The sequence below is a fragment of the Homo sapiens genome, chromosome 8, assembly GCF_000001405.40.
Source record: "Homo sapiens chromosome 8, GRCh38.p14 Primary Assembly".
NCBI lineage: Eukaryota > Metazoa > Chordata > Mammalia > Primates > Hominidae > Homo > Homo sapiens.
Genome location: NC_000008.11, coordinates 104,755,315 through 104,769,804, shown reverse-complemented (window position 1 = coordinate 104,769,804; position 14,490 = coordinate 104,755,315). Strand labels below are relative to the sequence as shown.

General features: G+C 40.9%; 1 annotated feature.

The window, feature by feature from the left end:
- Positions 9,981-10,030: a silencer, noted in NCBI's record as "silent region_19462". NCBI's record gives its function as "represses an Ori minimal core promoter by ATAC-STARR-seq in GM12878 lymphoblastoid cells {active_cell/tissue: GM12878}" and the evidence as "EXISTENCE:reporter gene assay evidence [ECO:0000049][PMID:35858748]".

Genomic DNA, 14,490 nt, shown 5'->3' with positions numbered 1-14,490 from the left:
ATTAATAAGAGCATGATGGCACTTAGCTAGTACATTTAAAGGAACACCCATTAGCATTCATTTATTCTCAAAAATGAATTAACAAAATGATGAACAACAGGATGAGCAATGAGGATTTACTCTACTCAACTTCTCACTTCATTACACCATATAAGAATATTCAAAGTCAAACTGTCATCACAGAATGTAGTCAGGAGCTTATGAAGCTGCACTGGTTGCATTTTTGCTTAACTCTTACACTCTTTTGTATCTTTCTTTTTTTAATAGGAAGGGAGTATACTTTAATTCCTCCAAGTCACTCCAACTGGATTAGACTCTTAAAGAAAAGAGACTCAGGCTTTCTCATTTTTAGGACTTTCAGAGTCCCTAACACAATTCTCCATTCAAAATAAGCATGCAATTGCTACATATTTATAGAAAAGATGAGTGAAAAAAAGAATGAAAACTATTACTGTTTCATTATAAGTAAATCTATATTTATTCTAAAATAAATACTTAAAAGCAGAGGGATGTCTTTTATTCTGGCAAACCTCCCCGAGATTCTATAAATCTGTGCATTACATTCCCAAGCTACAAATCTTGTGGCACTCAACCATATTGTGCAATACAAGAGAAGGTCTATAATGCATATTTCTACATCTTCATTTCATAAGAATATTTAAACAAGACATGCAAATTCAAGTGCAAGCAAGATCTAAGGAAACAAACTATATTTATGGGTGGCTGTATTTATGCACATATGTAGCATGTAAGCCTCAGAGTTTTCGGTTGCAGAATGAGGATGGAGTCCTTTTGATACAGCTGGAGATAGGAGGAAGATCGCTGTGGCTCACAAGTGAGAGTGCATTAAAAACATGGACAGCCCTGGTTAATAAATGTCCTCCATAGGGCTAATGATGGATGTTGCAGATCATGTTGAAATGTTGGGCCCACCTTACTATATAGGTCTATTCTATAATGATCACTTCTCAAGGATGCCATAGTAACTACTTGCCCTGTCCTACCATTTCCCATCCCGATATGCCTGTCTGTGCATGAAACTCTAGATGGAACACCAACTTCTTTGAGTCTCACTTTGTGTGTATTCATCCACTTATTCAAAGAATATTTATTAAGAATCTACTGTGTTCCAAGGACTGTGGTAAAGATATAAGAGCAAACAAGATATGGTCCCTGCCCTCAAAAGACTTAAAACTAGCAAAAAATACTGTTACAGAAATGTCACTGAGAGGAGCATGCATTAAGCTGTTATCAATAACACCTTGTCATGTTTTCTTTCTCCATGAAAGGAATGAAACTGCCTATTAGACCCTCAAAGAACTTTCTCAGTATTATTTCACCTGCCGTTTGAGGTTTGTAACAGAAGATTGTACAATCCGGTCTTACACCAAGTAATTTAGTTCTCTTAACTTGGAATATGAAAAAGAAGACAGCATGGTGAAACACGTGCCCCTTAAAATATAAAATACCATTTTATTGTACAAAATTAATACAAATTGAATAAAGCCAAAAAACTCATATCTCAATATGAAATGATTAAGTATAAAAATAATAGAATTAGAATCCAGTGGCTATAACCCATAGCCTTTGAGTGTACTTTTGAGTCTCCTGAACACATTTATTCTTTAGGTTTGTTCATTTGGAAACTCTCGAGTTGCTCCTAATTAGTCACCAGTCTTTCCCTTGACCTTACTTTGGATGTTTAACACTTGGTACTAGTTATGCTGGGCTTTTCCATCCACTTCCTTGGCCTCCAATGGTGTTTCATGCTGATATGCTAGCAACCTGATTATTTCATTAAACTCTATCTCAAGCTATGTCTTATATGCTCTATTCCTACTCGAATCCTAGCATTTTCTGAATCTAATGCATAAACTCTTAAATCAGTGGTAATCAATTGAGGATGGTTCCTCCTCCCCCAAGGACATTTAGGACATTTGGCAATGATTGGAGACATTTCTCATTGTACAAAGGTCGGGGCAGGGGTGGGATGGGGACCAGATGTCAGAAGCGGGAATGCTACTGGCATTTAGAGGGTAGAGGCCAGGGATGTTGCTAAACATGCTACAGTGCACAGGACAGTCCCCATCAAAAAAAAAGAGTCCCAAATATCTAGAGGCTGAAGAACCTCTACTTAGAAGAGGGTCCAGAGGAGACATACAATCGTAGGAGTCCTATCAAAGCAGACCTGGGTATGTTAAAGAAAAAATGTGTCTTTTAAGACAGAAGATTTTCATGTAATAGTCCAGGCAAACTGTCACCTGTCAGAGCTTAGCTTTTACAGATTACTAAGTGGGCCTCCTTTTAATTTAAAAGTCATAACATAGTCCAAACATAACCTCACATAAAACATTTTTATGCAGATCGAACCTCGGGGTTTTCGCACTTCATTAAGAATTAGTTGACAACTAGCAGGGAACAAGATAGGAAAAGAAGCCTTTAACTGCAAAAGTGGGAAATATCAGCATGCTTGTATTTGCTTGACAGTTTTCCCTTGACTACACTGAACTTTATCTGAGCCCTGTGTTCCCTGAAAGCAGCTACAGTTAAAAGATCCCCCTGAACCCTATTGTGTCCCAAAAAAGGGCACATCACAAAGCACCATCTTGCCCTTCCATATGTTTCTCATGACTCAGATAAGATTTGCTTGCTAGGCAGGGCACAGTGGCTCACGCCTGTCCCAGCACTTAGGGAGGCCAAGGCAGGAGGATTGCTTGAGCCCAAGAGTTCGAGACTAGCCTGGGCAACATAACGAGACACACACACACACACACACACACACACACACACACACACACACTTTATATTTACGAAGACTCACTTTCTGTCCACCTTTCCTTGGGACTCCTTGTTTATTTACCTCAGTAGAAAAGGTTTTCTCTTTCTTTGAGATGGTTCTGATTAATGAACATTTTCTCTAATGTTGAATAAAGCCTGAATAAAATTAACTGCTTAATAGTTTTTTACATCCTATCTTTTTTTTCCACTATATTTTAGGAAGCCAGACCTTTGGACTGCTCAGGGGAAGACTAATATCACCAAATCTCCTCCAGAAAATGCAAACCTCTGAGAAAAAGAAAGGAGTTAGATTTCACTTTCCCATCAGCCTTCCTTAAAAAATATATATATACATATATATATATATTTCAATTTATTTATTTATTTATTTAACTTTTATCTTAGGTCCAAGGATACACGTGCAGATTTGCTACATGGGTAAATTGCATGTCACAGGGATTTGGTGTACAGATCATTTTATCGCCCAGGTTAAGAAACATTGTACCCGATAGGTAGTTTTTCAATCCTTACCCTCCTTTCACCCTCTACCCTCCAGTAGACCCTGATGTCTGTTATTCCCTTCTTTTTGTCCATATGTACTCAATATTTAGCTCCCACTTATAAGAGAGGACATTCAATATTTGGTTTTCTGTTCCTGTGTTATTTTGTTTAGGATAATGGCCACCAGTGCCATCCATGTTGTTCCAAAGGGCATGAACTCATTCCTTTTTTGATGTTTGCTTAGTATTTTATGATGCACTTGTACCACATTTTCTTCATCCAGTCTACCATTGATGGGCACTTAGGTTGATTCCATGTCTTTGCTATTGTGAATAGTGCTGCAATGAATATACAGGGTGCATGTGTCTTTATGGCAGAATGATTTATATTTCTTTGGGTATATACCCAATAATGGGACTGCTGGGTCAAATGGTAATTTGGCTTTAAGTTCTTTGAGAAATTACCAAACTGCTTTCCACAATGGCTGAACTAATTTACACTCCCACCAGCAGTGTATGTGTTCCCTTTTCTCTATAACCTCACCAGGATCTGTTATTTTTTAACTTTTTAGTAATAGCGACTCTCGCTGGTATGAGATGGTATCTCTTCGTGGTTTTGATTTGCATTTCTCTAATGATCAGTGATGCTGAGCTATTTTTTTTTTTTTTTTTTTTTTTGAGACGGAGTCTCGCTCTTTCGCCCAGGCCCCGGAGTGCAGTGGCGCTATCTCGGCTCACTGCAAGCTCCGCCTCCCGGGTTCACGCCATTCTCCTGCCTCAGCCTCCTGAGTAGCTGGGATTACAGGCGCCTGCCAGCGTGCCTGGCTAATTTTTTGTATTTTTAGTAGACAGGGTTTCACCATGTTAGCCAAGATGGTCTTGATCTCCTGACCACGTGATCCGCCCGCCTAGGCCTCCCAAAGTGCTGGGATTATAGGTGTGAGCCACCGCGCCCGGCCGATGCTGAGCTATTTTTCATGATTGTTGGCCACATGTATATCTTCTTTTGCAAAGTGTTTGTTGATGTCTTTTGCCCAGTTTTTAATGGTTTTTTTTTTTTTGCTTATATATTTAAGCTCCTTATAGATTCTTGATATTAGACCTTTGTCAAATGCATAGTTTGCAAGTATTTTCTCCCATTCTGTGGGTTGTCTGTTTACTCTATTGATAGTTTCTTTGGCTGTGCAGATGCTCTTTAGTTTAATTCGGTCCTATTTGTCAATTTTTGTTTTTGTTACAATAGCTTTTGGTGTCTTCATCATGAAATCTCTGCCAAGTTCTATGTCCAAAATAGTATTTCCTAGGTTGTCTTCCAGGATTGTCATCGTTTCAGATTTTACATTCAAGTCTTTAATCCACCTTAAGTTGATTTTTGCATATGGTATAAGGAAGGGGTCCAGTTTCTATCTTCTGCATATGGCTAATGAGTTATCCTAGCACCATTTATTGAATAGGCAGTCCTTTCCCCGTTGCTTGTTTTGTTGATTTTGTCAAGATCAGATTGTATGTGTGCAGCATTTTTTTTCCAGCCTATCAGCCCTCCTTGATGATGATCTGACAATTACCAGCTGCAGAGGTGTTAGTAAAAAGAGTCCCGCCCAAGTCCAGATGTTGGGGCTCTTTCTTCCATTTGTTAAGGTTAAGAATCTTAACTACTTGCTAGGTTAAGAACATCCCACCTCCTCCCTTTCTGGAAGGACTAACGAGCAGGGCAGTCAGAATAGGAACCCCATGGGACAATTCACAGATGAGATGAAGTGCTGGATGGACCACCCTCCTCCCTGAGCTATGAGGGTCTCTGCTGGCTGGTAGGATGCATGGTAGGGAATGGGTCAGCTCCCAGTGGTTCCTTGGCATTTTCCATCTTCCAAGCCTTTCATGCCCTTCCTCAAAATAGCCCCCGGGTCATTCTCCAGGTGGCCTTTACACTTTAACTCTCTCCTTTAATTCTCTTTCTAAGCTTCATTGCTGCATAAACACTAAGCCCTGCCTGCGCTGGCACTCTCCCTTTTGATTCTCAAGAGCATAATTTGGAAGTCAAAAAGAAAGCTAACTCTTATCTTTACATTCCTGCACTGAAATCCCTACTCGCCTTCAGGCAATGTTCCTGGCCTTAGACTGACAGGTGATGGGGGCAGAGTATGGGCGGAAAGAAGGAAAGGCACAGAGATTAGTACAAAGTAAAATATTGCTGCTAATTCTATCAAATTTCAATGACTGGTAATAATTCAACCAATAAGTCCTGGCAACTGGGTGGATATAAGGTACCAGTAAGAAGGAAGAGGGAAAGATGATACCAAGGTTTTGAGCCTGAATGACTGGGAGGATGGAAGGTGGTAACACTGGCAGAAATGGACAAGTCGTGAGATGAGGGGGTTTGGGAAAGACGATGCCCGTGACTTATATTTAGGACTTGTTTGGGGTTGAGTGATGGGAAGATATCCAAGTGGAATGTCTTCTATGCTGATGGATCATGGCATTGGAGATCAGACAGGGTTAGGGCTGAGGGCATTATCTATGAAGGCCTACATTTAGCATCTATATTATATTAGTAGTCACTGAAAATAAGGCAGGATTTGTTTGCCCAAAGATAAATAGTAAAGAGGGAGGTCACCCACATCGAAAATTCAGCAATGGTGACAGCAGAAACTAGAAGAAAACTAATGTGTATTCTCACAAAAGTCCCAGTAAGGTTTTGTGTTTAGTTGGAGGAAGTAGTCCCCTACATCCCAATGCTGACAGTGTCAGAGGTGTTTCAACCAGAGCAACTCCATCTTGAATAGGAGCTGGGTAATATAAGGCTGAGACCTACTGGGCTGCATTCCCAGATGGTTAAGGCATTCTAAGTCACAGGATGAGATAGGAGGTCAGCACAAAATACAGGTCATAAAGACCTTGCTGATAAAACAGTTTGCAGTAAAGAAGCTGGCCAAAACCCACCAAAACCAAGATGGCCACTAGAGTGACCTCTGGCCTTCCTCACTGCTACACTCCCACTAGCGCCATGACAGTTTATAAATGCCATGGCAACATCAGGAAGTTATCCTATACGGTCTAAAAAGGGGATTCACCTCTTTAGTATATAATTTAAAAAAAAAAAAAACAACATAAAAATGGGCAACCAGCAGCCCTCAAGGCTGCTCTGCCTATGCAGTAGCCATTCTTTCATGCCTTTACTTTCTTAATAAGCTTGTTTTCACTTTACTCCATGGGCTCGCCCTGAATTCTTCCTTGTGCGAGATCCAAGAACCCTCCCTTGGGATCTGGATCCAGACCCCTTTCCTGTAACAAATGTCACGGCAGATGAGTTTGAGAAAACACAATTGAATGTAGTCTCCAGAACATCACCAGCGCCCTCAGAGAAGCACTGGGGGGTGGGAGGGTAGAGTGCGAAGCTAACCTCTGATCCTGCCTGCCCTTATAGAGCCCTGAGAAGTCATCCAGGAAGCTTGAGAACTAGTCTAGAAACAGGAAAACTAAGAATGTTATCCCAAAATTTCACAGTGAATGACAGAATGCCAAGTCTTCTAGGCCTGGAATAAATAAATAAAATGAAGGGGATGTGCTGCCCCTGACACGTGGAGGGCGCAGACCCAAAAGAGAAGTAGATCCTTCAGAGCAAATGTCTACTTCTGATTGAATGATCTGACCCTGTGATTCTCCCACAGGATCTCCAGCTTTCAGCTGCAGTACACCCTCTGCAGTGCCAGGAAACATGACCGTGAGAAAGAAAAATACTTTTTATCTGAGGAATGTGAGCCCCTTTAAATTATCAGGCCCAGAAAGGCATTTGAAATATAACACTAGTCATACCTCACTCGCCCTTGAGCTGATACATACCCCATTTATCCTGATATAATTATTACACATTGTATGCCTGTATCAAAATATCTCATGTATCCCATAAATATATATACCTACTATGTACCCACAAAAATTAAAAATGAAAATAATTGTTTCTTGAAGCCACTTGCAATGTAGGCTCTAGACTAACTGATGCCAAGTAGCCATAAAATGCTGTACACCCTGTACTTCAACAATGTATAGCCAATCATTAACCAGTGTGTCAGAGACGTTTGAACCAGAGTGACTCCATCTTGAATAGGGGCTGGGTAAAATAAGGCTGAGACCTACTGGGTTGCATTCCCAGGAGGTTAAGGCATTCTTAGTCACGGGATGAGATAGGAGGTCAGCACAAGACACAGATCATAAAGACCTTGCTGATAAAACAGGTTGCAGTAAAGAAGCTGGCTAAAACTTACCAAAACCCAAACCAAGATGGCGATGAGAGTGACCTCTGGTGTCCTCACTGTTACACTCCCACAAGCACCATGACAGCTTATAAATGCCATGGCACCATCAGGAAGTTACCCTATATGGTCTAAAAAGGGGAGGCATGAATAATCCACCCCTTGTTTAGTATATAATCAAGAAATAACCATAAAAATGGGCAGCCAGCATCCCTTGGGGATGCTCTGCCTATGGAGTAGCCATTCATTTATTCCTTTACTTTCTTAATAAACTTTATCTCACTTTATAGATTCACCCAGAATTCTTTCTTGTTCAAGATCCAAGAACCTCTCTTGGGGTCTGGATCCAGACCCCTTTCTGGTAACAAATGTTATTTCTGTTAACCAATGAGAATTCCTGACAAACAACTTTTGTAACTGCCCCCTCTCCTGATTCATCCTTTTTTCTTTAAAAACTTGAGCCTCTATTTTGTTCTCTGGACCACTCGCCAAGGCAACTTGGAAGCGTATCCCAGGCTGCAGCCCTTGACCTTGGCCCAAATAAACTCTCTATATTAATTTTGCCTCAGCTTCTTCCTTTTAGGCCAACAACCAAGTATACCTAACTAAATTCAGTGGAGCTTCCTGGAGTGTCAATTAGATTCAGATTTTTAGTGGAGTAGAGGGTAGTATTTGTATATTATAATCCAAGGAAATGGGGTGCATTATGGTACAGAATGCAAAATGTTCATGGTGTTTGAGATAAAGCCCAGGACTTCAAAGTAATTTCAAAATCATGGTGTGCCATTTGGGGCCACACAGGCTCAGACCACAGAAAATATTTTTTTAACTTATCTGCTGTTATATACACTTCCATGAGAAAGCTTGAGTAGCACTATTACTTTACTCCTTATTCACTTCTTGTCAGGTAAAGACATTATTATAAAGTCCATGTCACCTCTACTAGGATTGATATTCAGTTCTACTGCAGACGTTCATTCTCATAGTTAATTGCCTCTGTCATACCAATGATTAAGTATTTTGAATTATTCACCAGATATTCTTATTTTCATATTTGTCTTATTTTCCTGTCCTTTTATCAAAATCTCTTCATCTCTTTTGGAACAGGGGCCGTGTCTAACTTTTCTGGGGCTCCTGAGCAATGTCTGCACCTATATCTTGCATGCAGTAGGCCCTCAATGAATTAAATCGACCCAAACCGAACATTGCAGAAGGCCAATTGTGACCATTGGTTTTAATAAGCTGCATTATGGAAATTTACTATTTTAAAGTACTATATTAAAGCACATTCTCTCATCTGATTTTCACAAGAACTTACTGGTCTAGGCCAAAACACAAGCCACAGAGTCGGAACTAGAAATCATGTCTTCAGAACACTTTTCATTTAGACAATCAATCCAAAAATATTTACTCAGCACCTAATACGTGCAAGGCACTCTCCTAGGCTCTGGGAACACGGTGTATTTTTATATTTAGCCCTACTAGCAGGCTATATATACATAACCCTCACGGAAGACATACATATGTATATTTCAGGGTATAGGTACAAACCTCATGAGGAAGAACCCAGGCATATTATATAATTAAGTAATCACCAATATACTGGTTGCTGAAAAGAAGTGCACAGAGCCACTGAAGCATATTCCAAAGGGCTATTGTTCGGATTAGTAGATGTGAGCTTCTCACCTGCTCTCTGCAAAAACTCTTTTTAGGTGACTCTCTTCTACTGTACTTGGTTCAACTTTATGTCAGGAGGAGAAAATGTGGCCAGGGACGTGCTGAAACTGAAGTAGTGGAGGAACCAAAATAATGGGAACACATATTTGTCCAAAGATCTATTTAAATTGTCTCACTGTGGGGAGGACAAGATCTAATATAGCCTTATTAACATAAGAATATGCTTCTTCATTATCTTGTTTGCCATAGACTTGAATTTTGATGGGAAAATTTTCAGGGCTTAAACACTTGATTGCTACTAATAGCCAGAGTAATAGCACAGCTGTATTTAGGCTTAATTTATGGGTATTTAACATAACTTTAAGTATAGATTTCTCCAAATGCACTTGCTATTTCATTAGGGCTAGCCTATAAGACCATCAAATCCCACTGGAGTAATCTCAAGGAATGCAAATGCCCCATATACTTATCTCAACCTTACAGATTCTTATAATACAGAGCATGAAGACCAACAATTGCTAACACCTGTTTGCCATATTTTCCCCATACAATTTTGTTTTAGGAAAGCTTCAGTAGTAGGGACAAACTAGTTTTATTTTTTTGAAATTCCCCTGGCCTTGTAAAAGAACTCTCATACCTCCATTTCTTCCCTCAGAGAGTGGCTTGGCAAATGTTTGTCTGTGCAATTGGGCTGGTGGACTTCACCTCACTTCCACCAGGGGCCGCTGTTCTGCAAGCAGCGACACCTGCAGGGACAGTGTTTCAACACCAAGCAGGACCAAATAGCTTGATGGTGCAGCAAAAACAATCCTTTCAAAATTTGTTTTCTAACCTTGAAAACATTGCTAAGTGAAAGAAGCCAGACACAAAGGCCCCATATTGCATTATTTCATTTATAAGAAATCTCATAGAAATTGTAAATTGATCAGACAAGAAACAACATCCTGTCTGTGATTGCTGAATTTTGCTTTAGAATCTTGCTCCAGAGGCCTTCTGACAGAGTCTCCTGTCAGGAGACCTGCAGGGTCCTGCCCAGCATTCACATGTGCACGACCTACAAGTGTGAGGGAGTTAACCCTCCGGGGCTCGAGGCTGGTAGACAATGTCCCCTTCCTCAAGGCTGGTAGACAATGTCCTCTTCCTCGGTCCTTAGCCAGACAATGCTGAAGTACATTCCCCATGGCTCCTTAAAAGGGACCAGGGAAGTTGAGTCCCAGCTTCTCGCAGCAGTGATCAACTTAAGACCACACTTCTGTATGGTTCCCCCTCCTTCTCCATTTCACTCTCCTTGCCCCACTCCTGTTCTCTGGGATTACTTCTCAAAATAAATACCAGAACACAAGCCACTGCTTCAGGATCTACTTTCCAGAGAGAAGACCACACCTGTCAGAAAGCCCATGGTTGACAGAAAACAAGTCAGATAGGAGAAGGGGGTCACCGAAGTTTTCAGCTTCTAACACAACTCCTCAACTTGGCATTCCGTGCTAGAGTCAACTTCCCACCATTCTTGTAACAGAATCTACTGTCCTACACACACAGATACTACACACACACACACACACACACACACGCACGCACAGAGGTTCCCATTCTTATTTCCTGATTCGTGTGACTGTGTGCATGACAGGAAGGTGAATGGCCCTGAAATCAGACCAAACCAAGGCTGCACCATTACCACAACTGGTGGAACTTGGCACAGGGTTCTCTGTAAAGTGAGGATCATGTCACTGATTTTCTGGGTTGCCATCAGCGTTAGATAAGTCTTCAAACCAGGTTATAGATAGTTACAGGATTGAAACCCCCTTTGCAAAATTATGACTGAGACAGTGAAAGAAATCTAACTTAACCGACTGCATCTTGCTTCTAACCTCCAAGCTGTCCTTGTTCATTCCTGGGTGTAGGCTGAACTAACTTTGGGAGAAACAGTTTATAGTTTATAGTTTAAACAAAGACAGTAACAGCCCTTTCCCAAAGCAGACCTCCTTCTTGCCTAGGGACTAGATTGCCTTTGTAGGACCAATATTAGCCACAAGATTAGAAATTATGGTTTAGGAGTCATGCAGCTGGAGGCTACAAGATTCTGACCCTCCCTAAACTGCTCTTAAGATCAGTGCTTGAGATATTTTGCAGACTCTGCGCTTGATAGATCAGCTGGCACCACCCAGATCAATAAACTGGCTCATCTGATCTAGCGGCCCCCCCAACTCAGGAACTGACTCAGCGCAAGAAGACGGCTTCGACTCCCTATAATTTTATCCATGACCAGTCAGCACTCCTGGCTCACTGGCTTGCCCACCACCCACCAAGTTATCCTTAAAAACTCTGCTCCCCGAGGCCGGGCACGGTGGCTCACGCCTGTAATCCCAGCACTTTGGGAGGCTGAGGCAGGCAGATCACGAAGTCAGGAGACCATCCTGGCCAGCATGGTGAAACCCCATCTCTACTAAAAATACAAAAATTATCTGGGCATGGTGGCACATGCCTGTAATCCCAGCTACTAGGGAGGCTGAGGCAGGAGAATTGCTTGAACCGGGGAGTTGGAAGTTACACTGAGCCAAGATCATGCCACTTCACTCTAGCCTGGTGACAAAGCAAGACTCCATCTTAAAAAAACAAAAACAAACAAACAAAAAAAACAAAACAAAAAAACTCTGCTCCCCGAATGCTTGGGGATGCTGAGTAATAACAAAACTCCAGTATCCCGTATAGTTGGCTCTGCATGAATTACTCTTTCTGTATTGCAATTCCCCTGTCCTGATGAATAGGCTCTGTCCAGGCAGTGGGCAAGGTGAACCCCTTGGGCAGTTACAGAATCGTTTCCTTCTCACATCGTAGATAGTTTCCTTCTCCTCTGCCTGAAGTTATTCCAGCATGAACCTACAAAGAGCATAGACTTTGACAGCAACTAAATTTGGTTTTGAATCCTGTGTCCCCCACCCCTGTGTTAGCTGTATGGCCTTGGGCAAATTCTTCTACTTCTTTCAGTTTCCTTATCTGTGAAATGGGGATGATAAACTTGCTTCACATGAGGTTTAAATGAAATAGGACCTATGCCTACACTCAGTAAAGATCGATCTCACTTTCACCAGTCTAGACTAATCTACACACAGTTCTCTAGACTCCTTTCAAGGTCCATATATTAACTACTACTTCCAGTACGAAGACATTTGTGATACCTCCCCTTTTTGAACCTATCATCTCTTTAAACTTCCATTATGTAAAATTGATTTCTATTTCTCTTGCACCGCCTTGCACAACTGCCACAGTGTGTCTGAGGTCTTTTCCATTCCTTCCTTACACACAATCGTTAGGGCCTTAAGGTAAGAAAACTCTCTTACCCATCTATGTGGCAGTTTGGGTTACCTTTTGCACAGTTCCCAGGTGGCATTTCCACTGTGGTGTGGGGAACTGAATCCTGGGGTTTGTGTAGTGTGCAGACCTGCCTGTCATGATGTTGTATAGATAGCGGATCTCAACAAATACTTGTTAGATTAGCCTCCATGGTGTTCATCTGACTGATCTGTAAATCACAGTTTTCTAGTTATAGAACCCTTTTTTCTAATGTACGTCATACAACTCAGATCAATATAGGGAAATTCTAATGTAGGAGAGAGAGGGAAAAGAGAGGATATATCCTGTCCTTCCCAGCATCCCGCTCACCCACCTTCCTTGAGACATTTATGATGTATCTCCAAAGAACCCTTGGAATAGATCATCTCTGCACTTGCAGGCAGAGCTGACATTCTCCACCTGCTTCCTCAGTGCCTATATGGCAGTTCCAGTTGTGAACTTATGTGGCCTTCAGGGGCACGGACAAACATCTCAGCTGAGTGGGGCCTGGAACTTGGGTATGGACATCACCCTCCTTTTAAATATATTATACTGATGAGTTATCACTGGTGAATACAGGGTGAGAATACAGGATGAAAGTAAGTTCAAGAAATGGTAAACCTATGTGTAATGTCAATAAAAATATAACTCAAGACTTGCTAAAAAACAAAATTGAAAGCAAGTATAAAGGAGACATAGAGGAACATCTTGCTCTTTCATTCAGGATGCCACCCTGTTAGTGGTAGGAGGTGTTGTACAGATGTGGTGCTGAGTCTAATGTGGGCTGCATCCTTAGGATTAGGTCTGGCTGTAAATAATGACGACTCCAACACCTAGTGGCTTATACAAATAGGGGTTTTATTTCTGCTTACATAATCACAAATCAGGGCTAATATGCTGGCTCCAATATGCTGCCAGGAACACAAGCTCCTTTGAGCTTTCTATTCAGCCTTTATTGACACGTGGCTTTGGGCCTCATCTCTGTCACTTCATGCCACAATTTTGGGCATCACATTCTTATTCAACATAAGAATAAGGAGAGTAGAGGCAATTCCATCAATGTCTGTTCCTTTTACCAAGAAAGCAAAGGCATTCATAGGAACCCTCAGAATACTTTTCTCTCATGTCTTCTTCAGAATTCACAGCACACTTTAAAAAAATATTCTTACTCATAGTACCTCCTCATTTACAAATCCAGGCAACTCTCTTTTATTGAGCAACTACTGTGAGCCAGGCACTCTGATAATCACTTACATGCATTATCTCACAACTTCCTCCTCTTCTATTCCTTCAAAAAATATTTATCGAATGTCTGCTGTGCAAAAATAGTAAAACTTAGCCTGACAGAGAATGTAGTCAATCATGCCCCAGAAGAAATTTACATTTCTAAAAAGACTTTCACTCCAAGAAATAAGCCATGAATGAATCACAGGGCCTTGCCAAAAGTTTTCCACCCCGAGATAAGACACAAAAACCATACAAACAAAAAACCAGGAACATTCTGTTGGGAGCAGGGGCCTGTTTTTCAAATTTTATGTTAATGAAAGATAGAACTTTCTGTTTATTGAAACTGGCCCAAAATACATCTAATCAGAATTGCCAACTACCATTTAATAATTTCAACTACACATTTCACTTTTTCTCTATATTCTGAGAGCCAGTTAATTCAAAAGCTGGGCTCCCTTGCATATGATTTACATTTGCAAAATAAGAAAGAAAAAAAAAAGAGAAAGAACAAAAATCTTCTCTCAGAACTCCAACCTTATCTATGTAGTTTTTCTTTGGCATAAATGCCAGGAAGTGAACGAAACAGTGAAAGGCCCTTCTCTTAAGAAGCCTATGTCTGGTGCAGTACCTAAATTCCATCTACAGTAATATGTATCTTTAATACAGAAACCATAATCTTATTATTGCTATTGTTATTATTATTTTGAGATGGAATTTCACTCTTGTTG